The following is a 20,808-nucleotide window of genomic DNA, read 5'->3' as shown; positions in this document are numbered from 1 at the left end:
TTTTCAATTGTGTTCCCATAGTTTTGTTCCCATACCTAAATCTACAGTATCATTTATAACTCTTATTGTAGCAAGCTGTATTTGCATATCTAGCCATCAGAGTTCTTCAAGAGTAAGGAATGTAATCTACTCCAAGCATAATGACTGAAGATGCAGGTGGCTAATAAATAATCTCAAAGTAGTCAAAGATTTCTAAGTGCTTGCTGTTAAAAAAAATACACACACACACACACACACACACACAATTTCAAATGAAGAGTTAAACCCTATACTAACCTTTCGGATTTTAGTATTTAAGCAATTAGTTCAGGCAGTTTTATTATCATACAATATAAATAACATTTTATTATCAAATAATATATAACTTTTATTGACTTTTTAAAACAGGGAATATTTTACCTTGATCTAATAGATGAACTTACATTCCAAATATATAATGAACTCTTACGATAATAAGAAAAACAACCGAATTTTTTAAATGAACGGAAGATGTGAACAGAAACATCACAAATGAAGACATAAGAATGGCCAATAAACACATGAAAAAATGCTCATCATCATCAGTCATGAATAAAATGCAAAATTAAAACTATGATGAGGTACCACTACAGTAGATCCCCTCTTATCTGTGGTTTCATAGTTTCAGTTACCCATGGTCAACCACAGTCCAAAAACAGGTGAGTACAGTACATTAAGATATTTTGAGAGAGAGACAAAGAAGGAGGGGAGGCAGGGAGACACAACACTCACAAAAGTTTTACTATAATATATTGCTATAATTGTTATATTTTATTATTGTTGTTAATCTCTTACTGTGTGCAGTTAGTAATTTAAACCTTATCACAGGTATGTATGTAGAGGAAAAAACCATAGTATGTATTATATAGATGGTTCAGTACCATCCGCAGTTTCAGGTATCCACTGAGACAGTCTTAGAACATATATACCCCATGGATAAGGCGGGACTACTGTACATAACCATTTAAATGCCTCAAATTTAAAAGACTGAAAATGTTCAGGATGCAGATCAAGTGGGACTCTCATACACTGCTTATAGGAATGTACAATGTTCTAATACAGAAAACGAGTAGACAGTTTCTCATGAAAGTAAACAGGCAGTTACCATAAAATCCAGCAATCTCACTCAGGTATTTAATCGAAAGATAAGAAAACATATGTCCATAGAAAGACCTGTGCTCAAATGTTCACAGCAATTTTATTTATAACAGCCAAAAACTAGAAACCCAGAAGTCCATCAACTAGTGAATGGATAGGATAGATAAACTGTGGTATATCCATAAAATGCCATACTACTCAAAAAAAGAGAGAACAGAATAAAACAGTAATTAAAACTACAACATGGAAAAATCTCAAAAGCATCACGGGAAGTGAAAGAAGCCTGACACAAAAGACTATATACCAGGCCGGGTGCAGTGGCTCACACCTGTAACCCCAGCACTTTGGGAGGCCTAGGCGGGCAAACAGGAGGTTAGGAGTTTGAGAGCAGCCTGGCCAACATGGTGAAACCTGTCTCTACTAAAAATACAAAAATTAGCTGGGCATGGTGGCGGGTGTCTGTAATACCAGCTACTTGGGAGGCTGAGGCAGGAGAATTGCTTGAACCCGGGAGGCAGAGGTTGCAGTGAGCCAAGATCACGCCACTGAACTCCAGCCTGGGTGACAGCAAGCCTCCGTCAAAAACACAAAACAAAACAAAACAAAACAAAACAAAACAAAAAACACTGTATACTGTATGATTTTATTTATATGACAATCTAGAAAAGGCAAAACTATAGGAATACAAAGTAAATCAGAAGTAGTAAGGAGTGGGGATGGGTAGAGGGGAATATCTTCCAACAGGCACAAGGGAATTTTGGGGAGTGATGAAATTGTTCAAATCATTATATAGTAGTGGTTGTATGACTTCCAAACTCATCAAGTTGTGCTTTCTAAACTGGTAAATTTTATTATATGTAAGTTAAACCTTACTAAAGGTGACCTAAAAATAAATAAATAAAAATCAGCACATGTATTTAAAACTTACCGCAGCGCTACAACCAGGGAAATTGAAAAAAGTATCAGGACCGTGTCTCTGTGGCATCTGATTAAGAACTGATAATAATTTTACTGCATGTCTTGGCTGGGGAAACAATAAAAGAAAGAAATGTCATTGTACAAATTTAGCAATCATACTTAATATACCATGTTACCCATTGGACTGTTTTCTAACTAGAGAGAAAAATTAATTTTAAATCATTTACAAAACATTTACTAAATCATTTAAGAAGAAAGCAATTTCCATTATAAATTCAAGTATATAGCTCTCTAGAGACAAACTTTTGAACATTAAGTATTAATGGACTGATACTGAATACCTTTCCCTCCGACCACAGCTTACCCAGATTCCACTTTCTCCTCGAAGCATGCTGAACAAAAGCTTCAACTCCTTGACAGTGATGCTGTAGCTGGCAAGAACCCCCAACATATCAACTAGAAGATCTTCAAAGGAAAATAAAGTTATTCTGAACTCTAGTCATGAGCTGCCATCTGTCAAGGTAATATACTTTTTGAAAGAAAAAAGTTATCATTGTTATCTCTCTCTCTCTCTCTCTCTCTATATATATATATATGTATCTAATACAGCTAAATGTCCTCATGAATAGCCATTCCAATTAACAATTTTTAACTCATTAAATAACCAAAAGAATTTATTTGAATTACATGATTTTCCCCCATTAAATTACCACCGCAATTAAGCTGTCTTAGCAGAAATGTAAAATAGATTTTACATATTCCCAGAACACACACACACACACACACACACACACACACACACACACACCACAACACAGCCTGCTGTGTGCAGGGAAAGGTAGGTAAAATATGCAAATGTACAAAGATTTAAAATTGCAAACTGGTTATTGTCAAATGAAAAAGTAACAGCTGACTATATTGTCTTTCAGAATTATCTATTCTTAATATATTCTTGGTATATTCCTTGGCCCATTAGCAATTTTTACCACTTACTCCAAGTGAAACATTATTCCAAGTGGTTTACAGATACTAACCTCACAAATCCTCCTAACAAGCCTATGAGGTAAGTACCATTATTATCCCCTTTTAAAATGAGCAAATTGTGGCACAGATAATTTATTCCCATTGCCCAAGAACATAGACCTAGCAAGTGGTAGAATCAGGATTCAAACCCAGACAGTATAGCTTCAGAACCCTCACTCTTACACACTAGTCTATAAGTAGAAGTGTAATTTAAACACATTAATAGTGGTATCCATCATGCTAGTGTGAGTGTTTATGTGCATATAACAGACACACCAGCACACCTAATAATGAGAAAAATTATACATTTAATCTCTTGTCTCTGATTGCTTTCTCTACATATTGTGATTAATACTTTTTCTGTCATTGTTCTTTGCAAGAAATTGAACATCTAAACATTTATACTTCGTTTTCTCAATTTCTAAAGCACTTCTTAAGAATGAAACATACTACAAAGGTTATTACAAAGCAATACACATATATATTCTAAAAGCTTATAATCAATTAATAAAAAGGTTAGGTTAGGGTAAGCTGAAATACTTAGTACTGATATATAATGTATATTATTCAATATCATATCACAGATTAATAACTGGAATTTGAGACTTTAAAAAATATTTGTCATTTGTATATTTCAAAATGGAAACTTAGTATGCTTATCTTCATCAATTAATAATCAATTAATAATTAAATAATTTTATTTAACACACAATAATCTCTATGACAAAATTGTGACAGTGGATATGCCACTTTCAGAGTGATATTTTAATGAAATAAAACATGTCATCACTGAAGCAACAAAAATGTATTAAAATATTAGTACATATAGGTCAAAAAGTGTGTTTCTACAAAAAAATTTAAGTACTATAAAAATCCTAAGCTAATATGAAGTATTTTTTTCTTAGTCCATTTAATGTTGCTATAATATGAAGTATTTTTAAGCAATTAGCTGCAATGGCAACCTTTACAGAAGATTTCTTAAAGGTTTACATAAAATACTTTTAAAAAAACTTTAAAAAATATTTGCAACGTTTAAATTTTTTCAGGTTATACAAGACTTCATCTTTATCTTATCTCCCATGTATGTCACAAAAAGTAATCTATTAAATTTGTATTTAATTAGAAATTTTTAAAAATTCCTTGCATATTGTATATGTAACACAACCAAGCAGCTCAGTTTAATTCTATTACAGAAGGTCTTTTCTGGAGAACAAGATTAAAAGTAATCAGAAATCATTTTTAAAAGAGAAAAAATACGAATTACTTATATATTGTATATGTAACACAACCAAGCAGCTCAGTTTAATTTTATTATAGACGGTCTTCTTTGCTGGAGAACAAGATTGAAAGTAATTAGAAATGATTTTTTTTAAAAGAAAAAATACTAAGACCAAGAAATTTTCTCATCAATTTGTTATAAAATGTTTAATTTAGCCACCTTTTAGTGACACTTTTACTACATTATTAAATAAAAAGTACCCCATTGAATTTAACATACTACAATACATTCAGATATGAACTGTTAGTCGTGTTTTAGTGGCTACTGGTTCTTCCTTAGTATAATATGTAAAGTTTAATTTCTCTATTAAAAAGTAAGACAGAGGTATTTTTCTGACATTTATTCTCTTTTCTCATATCCTTCCATCATCAAGCTCTTTTGAAGGGAAATGCTAGAAATTACAAAAAGTGAAAAATTTTGTTATTAATATTATTACTGAGAAAAAGATAAAAGAATTAAGGAGCTTTATGTAACAGCAATGTCAAGATATGAACTTCTATGGTACAATCATCTTCACTGTCACTTTCACATTTCAGTGCTGATGAATTATGTACCAGTAAACTACTATGCATGTAATTTTGGCTCATTCTCTAAACTGCACTCCATAGAGTAGCAGCCAATTTACAAAAAAAAAATTAAGAGCTTAAGCTCAGATGTAAGAATTAAAAGATCATATGATATTCTATAAAACATGTGTACATGTAAGTCTATATTAATAAATTTCTATTAAGTACCTCTAGAATTTATAGAAATGCTACTATTAATATTAAAAAGGTATTTTAAGAAATAGATGTCTGAATCTCATTTTTCATCAAGTTAGCCATCAGTACCCAATACAGGGACTGCTAAATCATTCTAAAAAAAAGATATATGCCACCCTGAAGGTAATTAGATATGATTTTTAATATATTTTCTCAGAAAATCAAATTTTTTGAAATATTTAAATTCAAAGCATGCTTTTTGCAATTCTGCATTCTTTTTTAAGCCATTTTTCATTCCATTCTTGTTTAATGTTTTGTTCCATAAATTTTAAAAATAATGAAATGCATAAGCCAAAATGTTAAAAGAGTATTCTCTGGTATCTGAACTACTTTCCAGGATCAGGTATAATACTGTGGAGGGTAATATCAGCACTTTTATAATTATGAAAATGCTTTTATGTCAGAAGATACTTAGGCTGAAGATTCGTGGCTTACAAAAAATAAACATTTTAAACTTTAAACTTATTTTCTGGAATGATATTTGCTCTGGAATAATATTCAAAACACTTTTCTGAAATGCATCTAGCCACACAGGAGAATGAGCATGCAAGGTAGTAAACGGTTGGTGGTGAAAAAATTATAGATTTCAAAGTTATTGTTTGAAATCACCCAAACAAGCAAAACATTAGTATTTTTATCTTGAAATTCTTGGTGAATTTTATGTTCTAGCCCATAATATATTAGTTTATTTTAATACAAAAGTTTCTTCCAAAATGGACATATCCAAAAGATACACCATGCTTATATAAGGCTTTTAGTACCTCCTGTCATAGTTGCATATATGCCAGATTGAGGGGCACAGAACTAGAAGAATTTGGTAAAATGCTCATTATACAGAACTGTAATACCTATTGTGGTATTTTAATTATGTAAAAGCTTAATGAAATACTACATAAAAATAATGTTTATTTTTCTGATAGATTTCATAGCACTCCATGGTACTGAGATTTTCTAAAATTTAGAAAACAACATTAGTAATTATGTTTGTCTACTATAGTAAGTATGTTTTTCTTCTTGCACTCTTCAGGTTTTCCATTAATATAAAAAGTAAAATTTCCACACATTTCCATTTATTTTAAATCAAAGTAATGTCAACAAATCTACATTACCTATAGAATATAAAGAGAAGTATGTGAAACTTTATAAACATTTAAGTTATACTTTCCTGTCAGACAACCCCATACCTGCTATCATGTCATCTACAGCACTCATTTTCAGCAATACTTGTTCAATTAGCCCAACTTCTGTGCTAGTCTGTAAATTCCGAACACTTTTTCGTAGAATGGCTGTAAACATGCTCCATATTTCTGCTTGACATGTTACATCACAGTGCTCCAAAAGCTCTGTCATACATGTTATACTCTCAGCATCCTGGATAATAAAGTTCATCTCCAAGTCAAATTCTCCACCAACCAGCTGAAAGTAAACAGAAAGAAACAATAGTGTTAACATGGGAGGTTATCGATGACAGTAGAATGAAATAATAACAAGAATTCAAAGCTACTACTCTAAAAAATTTCAAGGATTCTGGTATAAAATTAATTTTGATCAAAAGTATAAGAGCTACAAATAAGTGAAAGGCATTGTGAGCATCGAAACTAGCAAACAGAAATCTAATTTTCACATAAATGGAAAAGGGTGATTTCAAATCTAGTAAAATAGAGCAAACTACAGCATGTGATTCCTGAGTGAGATTCAGGAAAAATTCCTAAAAAGAGGGTTTGGCCTTTAAAAGGGATAATCAACAGAAAATACAGAATTTACTAAGGATAAATTTTAAGACATGAAATTCATTTTTTTTGACATTACTAGTCTTACAGACAAAGAGATATAACTGGGGCATAATCTCAATATATAGAAGATAAAGAAATATGAAACTCATACAACTTATAAGAAATATTGAAATAATGAAATGAATGTTAAAAAATAAGTTGAACAGAAGTATGCAAGGTCTTGTAATGCTTTTTTTTTTAAAGCACAAATGTGAATTGGGTAAAAGAAAGCTGATTTAACAGCAACACATTTAACTTCAGCATTATGGCAAATGAGTCCAAAGTCATACTGCCCCTCCCATTTGGTATTTTAAGTACAGTAATAGACAAATACACATAGAATAAAATAACATAATAACACTCTTTACTCTCTGTTGATCGAATCCCATAGGAACTATTATATTCAGTTAAAAGCATCATTCTTAAAAAAGAACACTGTCAAACTGGATATCCTTTTGGTCTAAAGAACGATAAGATTTAGGAATAAAATAATAATCATATACAACGTCTGACAAATTTGAAGTCATTGATTCCTTAATAAATTATTAAGTTCTAGAAGTTACTGTTCTGGAACTAGAATATATGAATGTCCAAGATAAAAACCATGCACTAACAGTGCTAAATTCTAGGAACAAAGATGTATATGTATGTATGCATACATTACTTTATTCCAAAAAACATTGAAGGTGGCTAAAAGTTATATAAAGCATGAAGGAAGACATAAAATATGAGTAGATGAGAAAAGAGGAAGCAAAGGCAAAACAAGATTAGGAACAGACAGGGAGTAGAATTAGGATCAAGAAGTAAAATTAATTTCCTGTCACTGAAAGGTATTCACAAATACTGACAGATGACCACAGAATATGATGTAAATAGGATAAATAGTAATAATACCACCACTTAACCTTACATGGCATTTAGTATTGTTTTACATGTTTTACATCTATTATGACACTATTATTATCTTCATTTTACAGATAAGGAATCATAGGCACAGAGTTAAAAGTATGTTGAAGAATGTTACAAAATGGGTAAGAGACTCAGGATCCAAACACAAGAATTCTGTCTTCATGCAAGTTCATATAAACATTACAATCTCATATAAGAATATTTTTTAGGAGGGAGGTGAGGCAAGATGGCAGAACAGAAAACTCCACAGATCGTCCCTCTAACCCTACCGCAAGGACACTAAGTTAACAAACAACTACACAGAAAAAAGCTTCTTCATAAGAGCTAAAAATCATGTGAGCACCCACAGAACCTGGTTTTAACCTCGTATCACTGAAAGAGACACTGAAAAGATAGAAAACAGTTCTGAGTCTCTGACGCCACCCCTCCCTGACTCCAGCAGCATGGCTTGGTGCCAAGAGCATCTCTGGGTGCTGGTGAAGGGAGAACAGAGCAATTGTGAGGCACTGAACCTGGGGCCATCTTGCTATAGCATAAAGGAAAACCTGACCAAACTAAGCTGATGTCCACCCACAAGAAGGCATCTCAACCAGCCCTAGCCAGAGGGGAATCACTGATACCAGCAGTCCAAACCTGAGTGCCTGAAAACCTCAGTACCAAAGGCCAGAGTGCTCTTGGTGTTTAAGTAAACTTGAAAGGCAGTCTAGGCCATAAGGACTGTACCTCATAGGTAAGTCCTAGTGCTGAACTAGGCCCAAACACAGTGGACTAAAGTGGCATGGACACACTGAGATACCAGCTGGGGCAGCTAAGGGAATGCTGGCATCACCCCTCCCCTAACCCCAGACTGCACAGCTTGTGGATACAAAAGAAACCCCTTCCTTCTACTTGAGAAGAGGAGAGGGAAGAGTGGGGAGGAGTTTGTCTTGCATCTTGTTTACCAGTTCTGCCACAGAAGAATAGGGCACCCTGAGGTCATGAGGCCCTTGTTCCAGGCTCTAGCTCTGGGATGACATTTCTAGATACACCCTGGGCCAGAAGGAAACCCACTGCCTTGAAGGAAAGGACCCAGTCTAGGCAGCATTCATCATGTGCTAACTGAAGAGCCCTTGGGTCCTGAATAACCAGCAGTGATACCAAGGTACTACGCTGAGGGCCTTGGTGAGTTTCTGAGACTTGTTGGCTTCAGGTGAGACTATGCACATTACCAGCTGTGGTGGCTATGGGGCAAAACCCCTTCCGCTTGATAAAAACAGAAGAGTAAAGGGGACTTTGTCTTGTATCTTAGGTACCAACAACACTACAGTAGGGTAGAGCACCAAGTGGGCTCTTGGGGTCCCCAATTCTAGGACTTGACTATTGGACAGCATTTCTAGACCTGCCCTGAGCCAAAGGGGAACCTACTGCCCTGATGGTTGAGTCCAGGCCAGGCAGCATTCACCACAAGCTGATAGAAGAGCCCTTGGTCCTTAAGGGAATGTCGGTGGTACTCTGGCAGTACTCCTCATGGCCAGGAGTGGCAGTGGCTAAGGGGTGAGGCTCCTCAGCCTTTGGAAAGGGGAAAAGGGGAAAAGTGGAAAAGGGGAAGGACTGTGTCTTGTGGTTGGAGTGCCAGCTCAGCCACAATACAACAGAATGCCAGGTAGATTTCTAAGGTTTCTAAGATTTCTAAGACTCTAGTCCCAGACTCCTATATGGCATCTCTGGACCCACTAGTGGCCAGGGGGACTTTGCCACCCTGAAGAGAAGGACACAGGCCCAGCTGGCTTTGTTACTTGCTAATTGTAGAGCCCTAGGGCCTTGAGTGAACATAGGCTATAGCCAAGGAGCGATTAAGGCAGGCCTTGGGCAAGACCCAGCACTGTGCTTGCTTCAGGTGTGACCCAGCACAGCCATGGTGGTGGTGGTCATAGGAGTGCTTGTGCCATACGTCATACCAGCCCCAGCTTTAGGTGTCTCAGAACAGAAAGAGAGAGAGACTCTGTGTGCTTGGGAGAAAGTAAGGAAAGAGAACAAGAGATTCTGCCTGGTAATCTAGAGAATTATCCCAGATCTTGCCCAAAACCATCAAGGCAGTACCTCTACAAGTCTGCAAGAATCACAGTGTCACTGGAAAGCCTTCCCAAGAAGGGTGGCTATAAATAAGCTCAGGCAATGAAGAGTACAATAAATACCTAACTCTTCAATGCCCAGGCACCGAGGAACATCTACTAGCATTAACACTATCCAGAAAAACATGACCTCACCAAATGAACTAAATAAGGCACCAAGAATCAATCCTGGAGAAACAAAGATATGTGTGTGACCTTTCACAGAGAATTCAAAATAGCTGTGTTGAGGAAACTCAAAGAAATTCAAGATAACACAGAGAAGGCATTCAGAATTCTATCAGATAAATTGAACAAAGATATTTAAATAATTTTTAAAAATCAAGCAGAAATTCTGCAGTTCAAAAATGCAATTGGCATACTTAAGAATGCATCAAGTCCTTTAAGAGCAGACTGGAACAACCAGAGGAAAGAATTAATGAGCTTGAAGAAAGGCTATTAGAAAACACACAGAGGAGAAAAAAGAATAAAAACCAATGACACATGCCTACATGATCTAGAGAATAGCCTCAAAAGGGCAAATCTAAGAGGTACTGGCCTTTAAAAGGAGGTAAAGAAACAGATAGGTGTAGAAAGTTTATTCTGAGTAAACCTTCAAATAACAGAGAACTAACCAAACCTAGAGAAAACATCCAAGTACAAGAAGGTTATAGAACACCAAGAAGATTTAACCCAAAGAAGACTACCTCAAGACATTTAGTAATCAAGCGCCCAAAGGTCAAGAATAAAGTAAGAATCCTAAAAGCTGCAAGAGAAAAGAAACAAGAACATACAAAGGAGCTCCAATACATCTGGCAGCAGACTTTTCAGTGAAAACCATATATGCCAGGAGACAGTGGCATGACATATTTAAATTGCTGAAGGAAAAATCCTTTTACCCTAGAATAGTATATCCAGTGAAAATATCCTTCAAACATGAAGAGGAAATAAAGACTTTACCAAACAAATAAAAGCTAAGGGATTTCATCAACACCAGACCTGTCCTACAAGAAATGCTAAAGGGGGTACTTCAATCAGAAAGAAAAGGGCATTAATAAGCAATAAATGATCACCTGAAAATACAAACCTTACTGGTAATATAAGTACACAGAAAAACACAGAATATTATAACACTGTTACTGTGGTTTGCAAACTACTTTTATCCTAAGTAGAAAGACTAAATGATGAACCAAGCAAAAATAATAACTACAACTACTTTTCAAGACATAGGCAGTATAATGAGATATAAACAGACAAAAAGTTAAAAAGCAAGGAAATGAAGTTAAGGCAAGTTTTTACTAGTTTTCTTTTTGCTTGTTTGTTTGCTTATGCAAATAGTGTTATGTTATCAGGTTAAAATAATGAATGATAAGATAGTATTTGCAAGGCTCATGGTAACCTCAAACCAAAAATTATACAATGGACACACAAAAAATAAAAATCAAGAAACTAAATCACCAGAGAAAATCATCTTCACTAGAGGACAGAAATGCAAGAAAGAAGACCACAAAACAACCAGAAAACCAAAAACAAAATGGCAAGAGTACATCCTTACTTAATAATAACATTGAATGTAAATACACTAAACTCACCAATCAAAAGACACAGACTAACTAAATGGATGAAAGAGCAAGACCTATTGGTCTGTTGCCTAAAAGAAACACACTTCACCTATAAAGACACACAAAGACTGAAAATAAACAGATGGAAAAAGATATCCCATGCCAAAGAAAACCAAAAAAAGAGCAGAAGTCACTATACTTGTATCAGACAAAAGAGATTTCAAGACAAAAACTATAAAAAGAGACAAAGAAGGTCACTATATAAAGATAAGGGTGTCAATTAAGTGAGAGGATATAACAATTTCAATATATATGCACCCAACACTGGAGCACCCAGACATATAAAGGAAATATTATTACAGCTAAAGACAAATATAGGTTCCAATACCATAATATCTGGAGACTTCAAAACCTCACTTTCAGCACTGGACACATCTTTCAGAAAGAAAATAAACAAAGAAACATCAGAATTCATCTGCACTACAGACCAAATTGAGCTAATAGATATTTACAGAAGATTTCATCCAGGAGCTGCAGAATACACATTCTTTTCCTCAGCACATGGATCAACTGAAAAGACAGACCATATGTTAGGTCACAAAACAAATCTTGAGACATTCCAAAAAAATGAAATAATATAAAGCTCTTCTCTGACAACAACGGAATAAAACTAGAAACATCAAGAGAAATTTCAGAAACTATACAAATACATGGAAATTAAACAATATGCTCCTGAATGACAAGCGGGTCAATGAAGAAATTAAGAAGGAAATTGAAAATTTTCTTCAAACTAATAATAACAGAAACACAACATACCAAAACCTATGGGATACAACAAAAGCAGTACTAAGAGGGATGTTTATAAGTGCCAATATCAAAAAAGAGAAAAAATATCAAACAGACAATCAAATGCTGCACCTTAAAGAACTAAATGATCAAGAGCACACCAAATCCAAAATTAGTAGAAGAAAAGAAATAATAAAGATCAGAGCAGAAATAAATAAAACTGAAATGAAGAAAACAATACAACAGATCAATGAAACAAAAAGTTCATTTTTTGAAAAGCTAAACAAAATTGACAAATCTTTAGCCAGACTAAGAGAGAGGATCCAAATAAATAAAATCAGAAATAAAAAAGGAGACATTACAACTGATACTACAAAAATTCAAAGGATCATTAGTGGCTACTGTGAGCAACCACACGCAAATTATTTGGAAAATCTAGAAGAAATGGATGAATTGCTCCACACATACAAGTACCAAGATTGAACCAGGAAGAAATCCAAAACCTGAACAGATTAATAACAAGCTACAAGACTGAAGTTGTAATAAAAGTCTCCCAGTAAAGAAAAGCACTTCACTGCTGAATTCTAACCAAACATTTAAAGAACTAATATTAATCCTACTCAAACTATTCTGAAAAATAGAGGAGAAGGGCATACTTCCAAATGGAGGAGGAAGGAATACTTCCAAACTCATTCCATGAGGCCCGTATTACCCGGATACCAAAACCAGTCACAGACACATAAAAAATAAAATAAAATAAAGAAAACTACAGGCCAATACCTCTGATGAATATTGATGCAAAAATCCTCAACAAAAAACATAGCACACCAAATTCAACAATACATTAGAAAGATCACCCATCATGATCAAATGGGATTTATCCCTGGGATACAAGGACGGTTCAACATATACAAATCAATCAATCTGATACATCATATCAGCAGAATGAAGAAAAACCACAAGATCATTTCAACTGATGTTAAAGAAGCATTTGATAAAATTCAACATCCCTTCATGATAAAAACTCTCAAAAAACTAAGGACAGAGGGAACATACCTCAACACAACAAAAAGCATATACTACAGACCCACAGCTAGTATCATACTGAATGGGGAAAAACGAAAAACTAAAAGTCATTTCTCTAAGATCTGGAACATGATATGGATACCCACGGTTAACACTGTTATTCAACATAGTCCTGGAAGTCCCAGTTAGCATAATTATACAAGAGAAAGCTAGAAAAAGGTATCCAAATGGGAAAGGAAGAAGTCAAATTATCCTTGTTTGCGGATGATAGAATCTTATACCTGAAAAAAACCTAAAGATTTCACAAGAAAACTATTAGAATAATAAACAAATTCAGTAAAGTTACAGGATACAAAATCAACATACAAAAATCAGTAGCATTCCTATATGCCAACAGTGAACAATGTGAAAAAGAAATTTAAAAATAATCCCATTTACAATAGCCACACATAAAATTAAATACCTAGGAGTTAATGTACTCCAAGAAGTGAAAGATCTCTATAATGAAAACTATAAAACACTGATGAAATAAATTGAAGAGGACACCCAAAATAGAAAAATATTCCATGTTCATGGATTGAAAGAATCAGTATTGTTAAAATATCCACACTATCCAAAGCAATCTATAGATTCAATGCAATCCCTATCAAAATACCAATGACATCCTTCACAGAAATAGATAAAACAATGCTCAAATTTATATGGAATCACAAAAGACCTAGAATAGCCAAAGCTATCCTAAGCAAAAAGAACAAAACTGGAGAAATCACATTACCTGACTTCAAATTATATTACAGAGCTATAGTAACCAAAACAGCATGGTACTGGCATAAAAACAGACACAGAGACCAATGTAACAAAATAGAGAACCCAGAAACAAATCCACATGCCTACAGTGAACTCATTTTTCGCAAAGGTGCCTAGAACATACACTAGGGAAAAGACAATCTCTTCAATAAATGATGCTGAGAAAACTGGATATCTGTATGCAGAAGAATGAAACTAAACCCCTATCTCTCATGATATACAAAAATCAAATCAAAGTGGATTAAAGACTTAAATCTCAGACCTTAAACCATGAAACTACTATAAAAACACATTGAAGAAAATTTCCAGGGCACTGGTCTGAGCAAAAATTTCACCAGCAATACCCCACAAGCACAGGCAACCAAAGCAAACATGAACAAATGGAATCACATTAAGTTAAAAAGCTTCTGTGCAGCAAAAGAAACAATCAACAAAGTGAAGAGACAATCCAGAGAATGGGAGAAAATATTTGCAAACTACCCATCTGACAACGGATTAATAACCAGAATACATATGGAGCTCAAGCAACTCTATAGGAAAATATCTAATAATCCAAACCAAGATGAGCAAAAGATTTAAATAGCAATTTCTCAAAAGAAGATATACAAATGGCAAATGGGCATATGAAAGATACTCAACATCACTGATCATCAGGGAAATTCAAATCAAAACTACAATGAGATATCATCTCACCCCAGTTAAAAATGTCTTATATTCAAAAGACAAGCATAATAAACACTGGCAAAAATGTGAAGAAAAGGGAACACTTGTACACTATGAGTACACTATCAATGGAGTAAAGAGACAACCTACAGAATATAAGAAAATATTTTCAAACTATGCATCTGACAAAGGTCTAACATCCATAATCTATAAGGAACTTAAATTTACAAGAGAAAAAAAACCCCACTAAAAAATGGGCAAAGGACATGAACAGACACTTTTCAAAAGAAGACATAAGTGTGGCCAACAAGCTTATGAATAAAAAGCTCAATAAAACTGATCATTAGAGAAATACAAATCAAAACAACAGTGAGATACCATATCATACCAAGAAGAATGGCTATTATTAAAAAGTCAAAAATAACAGGTGCTGGTGAAGTTGTAAAGAAAGGGGAACACTTATGTGCTGTTGGTGGGAGTGTAAATTAGTTTTACCATTGTGGAAAGCAGTATGGCGATTCCTCAAACAGCTAAAAGCAAAACTACTTTTCGACCCAGCAATCCCATTACTGGGTATATATCCAGAGGAATACAAATTATTCTACTATGAAAACACATGCATGTAAATGTTCACTGTAGTACTATTAACAATAGTAATGGCATGGAATCAACCTAAATGCCCATCAATGACAGAATGGATAAAGAAAATGTGGTACATATACCAGATGGAATACTATGCAGCCATAAAAAGGAACAATACCATGTCTCTTATGGGGATATGGATGGAGCTGGAGGCTAATTATCGTTAGCAAACTAATGCAGGAACAGAAAACCAAATACCACACATTCTCACTTATAAGTGGGAGCTAAATAATGAAAACTTACTAACATAAAGAAGGAAACAACAGACACTGGGTTCTATTTGAAGGTGGAGGGTGGGAGGAGGGAGAGAAGCAAAAAAGATAACTATTGGGTACTGGGCTTAATACATAACCGAGTGATTAAATAATCTGTACAGCACACCCCCATGACATGAGTTTACCTATGTAACAAACCTTCACATGTGCCTACAAACCTGAAAAAAAAAGTTCCTGTCTAATAAAATTGTTGGGAGCATGAAATGAGATAATTGAGTTAAGTACTTAGGCACAATGGGAGACATACAGTTAGCATTCAGTTAAAGTTAGCAATTATCAGTTCTCTAACCACCCCAGCTTCCAGCTATTAAAAAAAAAGAAAAAAAGTAGTCACCAATCGAATACCTCTGAAGTATCATGAAATTCAGCAAGCTTAAGTCTTATGTTTCCAGCAAAATCAAATTTATTATGGATCATACACTCTATTAGATATCACTTGGACATTTACTGAAACCAACTCAAACATCACTTTTTTACCATACCATTGTCTTACTATAAAACTCCTTTTTGTTCATTATTATGAGCCCAACTGACTTCAGTCTGTCACTACTGTGAATCTTGTACACTAGTGATTGGTAACTCAGAAAAGGTTCTCGAGAAATAAACTATATAAAAACAAAAGGTTGGAAAATCAACAATACGGACACTTATTGATTGAACCAATAGAAGCCGATAATGAGGTTTATGCCTATGGGCCTCTGTATAAATTTGTAGAATAAAGGGTATACACTTGAATTGTAGAGTATTGGAGAATTTTTTTAGATGAATCTCCTAAACCAGTTGTAACTGCTTTAGCAGAGTCTGGTAGAGCCAAATAATTACATATGTAAATAGCAGAGATGGGCTCATTGCAGGGGTGCTGGTGGAGTCGGCTGTGAAAGGAATTAACAATTAATATATGTAATTCTAACAATCAGGCTCTGTTATGTGAAGCCTGAGTGTACATCTTTCGCAGCCAAAAACACATTGCCCCTTTCTATGTATCATTTAGCTCTCTGATTTAATTGCCGGAAGCAGTAAAAATATTTACTACAGATGTTGTAATGGGCCTATGCTTTCTACAGTGAGATGGTTTTATAACCTTTATTGTTAACTTTTAATACATTCGTGTTAAAGAGGCTAACTGCTGAATGAAAATATCATCCCAAGATTAGGAAAATATTTATTTGCTTGTAATGAGTTGCTTATTAGCAACTAAAGCATATAATAAGTAAAAAGAGTTGACCTTCATTATTTAAACAATTCTCTAACGATCCTATGAAGAACTACAGTGAGGCTTCATTATCCTCATAGAAAGAAACTGAAGATAAGTGAGGTTAAGCAACAAGACTAAGGTCACACATAAGTAAGCGGTAGATCCAGGATCCTAATATAGACTACAAAATGCACTTAATCACTTGCTATGAAGTCAGAGGTGTAGATTTAAGAAAGAAAGAAAGAGAGGGGATATTTATAAAGCTCTATGAAGAGTAAAATGAGGAAACAATGATTTTTATGGGTAAGAAATGAAACATCTACATGTAGTAGACCATAATTTAAAAGAATTTGTTAAAGTTAAAAGCAAGAAAGAAGATTTTGAAGGTTCAAATATAAGAAAATCAAATAAAAATACTTTAAAAACACGTAAGAAAACATCTTAAAAAGCAAAGGAAATGATGTAGCAAAGCTGAAAAAGCTAAATAAAAAACAAAGCTAAATACTAAAAATCTGTTCTTCGAAAAGATGTGTCAAATCACTGTGACCATATATAAAAGAGAAGGATAAACCAGTTGAGACATCCTACAAATCTGAATGCATCTTTGTGATACTCTATTTGCACAGTTAACGGTGTTCTTTTCCTCCAGGCCTTCAAAAAATTCTAAAAGGTACTACCGCTGTTAGAGAAGTGGTCCACAATGATGCTTGCTACTCAAGAATCAGTCTTAAGTGAATTTGTGTAAAATAAATATCACAGCTGAGCTTTTTAAACTGCAGTAACTTTTATTTACATAAAGTAAATAAACTTTACTGAATAAAAATTTTGAAATACAAAATGCTGACTTGGAAACATGTTGTCTTCTAAGAGCACTGAGGTTTATAAATACTAGCAATTTAAGTACCTTTTGTGTATGTTTTAGGTATAGAGTGAGTCTTTAAATATCTTGATTTGAAATCTTAGATTATTAGGATCATACGCAATAATTCAATGTTCATTATTTAAATCAAAGTGAACAATTGTTAAACTGCTGGATTTCTTTGCAATTTGTTATTTTGGATAAACTCTAAAATGGTAACACTTTTCAGAAAGCCCAAATTAACTCCCAGCCTCAGTTTTTTCTAATTCCCAGCTACTGCCATAAGGAAAGTTTCTACAATACCATCCCTCACTTCATAGAAAATCCTTTGTATGTGTTACTCCCTATGCATGATACAGGGTTCCCTCTCAAACTCTGGATTTGTTAACTTCCATTAAATCTACAAATATCAATTTAGATACCACTTAATCCAGAAACTCCTCCCAGTACCCACAAAGATGGTTTTTCTTGGACTCCCATTACAGCCATCCACACCACAGCAGTGGTGTTATAGACTATGGTGTTATAGACTAAATGTTTATATATCATTATATAAACACATATATATGTGTTATATATCATATATAACACATAATGTTATAGACTAATTGTTTGTGCCCTCAACAGTCAAATAGACAAGAAAAGTTTCTGAGAAAATTGTCCTCTCACCATTGCTGTAACTGAACAAAGGAATATGAATAAGCAGAAACAAAAAGAAAGAAGCCCAATACTACAGTCTTAATTATTAAAAATTTATAATAACTTTTAATAATATAGTCCATACAATGGAATATTATTCAGCCATAAAAATGAATGAAGTTCTGATACATGCTACAGCATGGATTAATCTTGAAACATTATGCTAAGTGAAATGAACCAGACACAAAAAGGCAAATATATGACTGCAATTACATGAAATATCTAAAACAGGCCAAGTTCATAGAGAAAGAAAGTATATTAGAGTTACCAAAGATGAGGAAGGGGGAAATGTGGGGGTATTGCCTAATGAATATAAAGGTTCTGTAGGGGGTGATGAAAAAGTTTTGAATGCAGACAGTGTTGACAGTTGTACAACCACTGCTATTCAACACAGTACTGGAATTTCTATGCAGAGTAATAAGGCAAACAAAGGAAATAAAAGATACAGAGATCTAAAAGGAAGAAATAAAACTGTTCCATCTGCATATGACATGAACCGGCCTAAAGAAATCACCAAGGAATCTAGGAAAACATCTCTGTAACCATTCAGTGAGTTTAGCTAGGTAACAGGATCAACATACAAAAGTCAATTCTATTTCTATATACTATCAGGGAACATGTGGAAACAGAAACTTTAAAATACCATTTACTGTCACTAAAAAATTAATTGTCTATGTAAATTTAACAAACTATGTACAAGACTATCATTCTTAACAACAAATCACTGATGAAAGAAATCAAAGACCTAAATAAATATAGAAACATACTATGTTCATGGAATATTCAACATAATAAAGATATCAACTCTCCTCAAATTAACATATAAGTTTAATGCATTTTCTATAAATCCCGGAAATATTTTTAGTAGATGTAAACAAGATAATTCTGAACTTTATATGAAAGGCAAAGGAATTACAATACCTTAAATTTTTTCTTGAACAAACAAAAATAAAGTGGGAGGAATCACTCTCTAATTTTAAGACTTGCTATAATAATTCAAGACCCTGTAGCACTGGTGAGTTGATAGACACATAGATCATGAAGCATAAGCGAGAACCCAGAAACAGCCCTAAATGATTATCAACAAGTTATTCTCAAAAAAGATACAAAAGCAATTAAATGGAGGATGAACAACCTTTTTAGCAAACAATGTCAGAGCAACTGGTTATCAACAGGCCAAAAAACATGAACCTCCACCTATAAGATATTTCATATCTTTTATAAAAATTAACTCATAATTAATCATAGTTTAAATGTAAAATATAAAACTTTTAGAAGATAACATAGCAGAAAATATTCAGGACCTAGAGCCTGGCTAAAAGTTTTTAGACATGACCCCAAAAGCAGGATCCATTCAAGATAACATTAATAAATTGGACTTCATAAAAATAAAAACTTTTGCTCTGAGAAAGATCATGTTAAAAAGTTGAAAATATAAGCTACAGACTGGAAGAAAGTATTTGTAAACCACATATCTGATAAAGGACTCATCTAGAATGTAACAGAAATCAACAGTAAAGAAGCTGGCCATTGAATCAGAAAATGGGCAGAAAACATGAACACGCATTTGATCAAAGAGGATCTATGGATGGCACAAAGAGTTATCCCTGCATATATATCAGAACAGTTAAAACAGAAAACAGTAGTAACAGCAAGTGCTGGTGTGGATGCAAAAAAAAAAAAGTGGATCTGTCATAAATTGCTTGTAAGGATATAAAATGGTACAATCACTCTGAAAATAGTTTGGCAGTATATTACAAAACTAAACATACAGTTAGCATATTATCAAGTAATTTCACTACTGGGAATTTATCCTAGGGAAACGGAAACATAGCTACAACAAAACCTGTACATAATTGTTAATAGCAGCTTTATTTGTAATAGCCATAAAGTAGAAACAACTAGATGCCCTCCCAAAAAGTACATGGCTAAATGAACTGTGGAAAGTCCATACCATGGAATACTACTCAGCAATAAAAAGGAACCAACTGTCAATACACACAACAACCTGGATAAATATCACAGACATTATGTTGAGTGAAGAAAAGCAGTCTCCAAAGATCACATAAAATACGATTCTATTTATGGAACATTCTCTAAATGACAACATAATAAAGACAGAAAAGAGAGTAGTAGTTACCAAGAGTTAGGGTTATGAGGGTAAGAGGATGGGTGTGACTATATTTGTAGTAATAGAATACTTCTCTATCTTGGCATTTTAGGTAGGTAACTGTCAAAATATCAGCTAACCACCAAAGTAGCAGATATACTGAGTTTAATATAATATATTATTAATGTTAATTTTATGTGTTTCTTTTGATTTTTAAATGTGGCTACTAGAAAATTTAAAACTATGTCTGGCTCATTTTATATTTCTATTGGTAGTGCTGCTTTAGAAGCTAACAATCTAGCTGGCCAATTGAAAGAAT

At 33.8% G+C, this 20,808-nt stretch overlaps 1 protein-coding gene across 12 annotated transcripts in view; it reads right to left on the bottom strand.

Annotated features, from left to right (window-relative positions):
* Nucleotides 1-20,808, bottom strand: part of NBEA (neurobeachin) — a 730,467-nt gene that overhangs the window by 625,291 nt on the left and 84,368 nt on the right. For all 12 annotated transcript variants that reach the window (XM_047430271.1, NM_001385012.1, XM_006719803.4 and 9 more), the window contains 3 exons: nucleotides 6,282-6,513; nucleotides 2,399-2,499; nucleotides 2,045-2,140 (listed from right to left, as the gene is read on the bottom strand). In XM_047430271.1, the coding sequence (XP_047286227.1) occupies nucleotides 2,045-2,140; nucleotides 2,399-2,499; nucleotides 6,282-6,486 (402 nt within the window). In that variant the 5' untranslated portion in view covers nucleotides 6,487-6,513. The remainder of the gene's footprint in view (nucleotides 1-2,044; nucleotides 2,141-2,398; nucleotides 2,500-6,281; nucleotides 6,514-20,808) is intronic.

This window comes from Homo sapiens, chromosome 13, assembly GCF_000001405.40.
Source record: "Homo sapiens chromosome 13, GRCh38.p14 Primary Assembly".
Lineage (NCBI taxonomy): Eukaryota > Metazoa > Chordata > Mammalia > Primates > Hominidae > Homo > Homo sapiens.
This window is presented reverse-complemented; position numbering and strand designations above follow the sequence as displayed.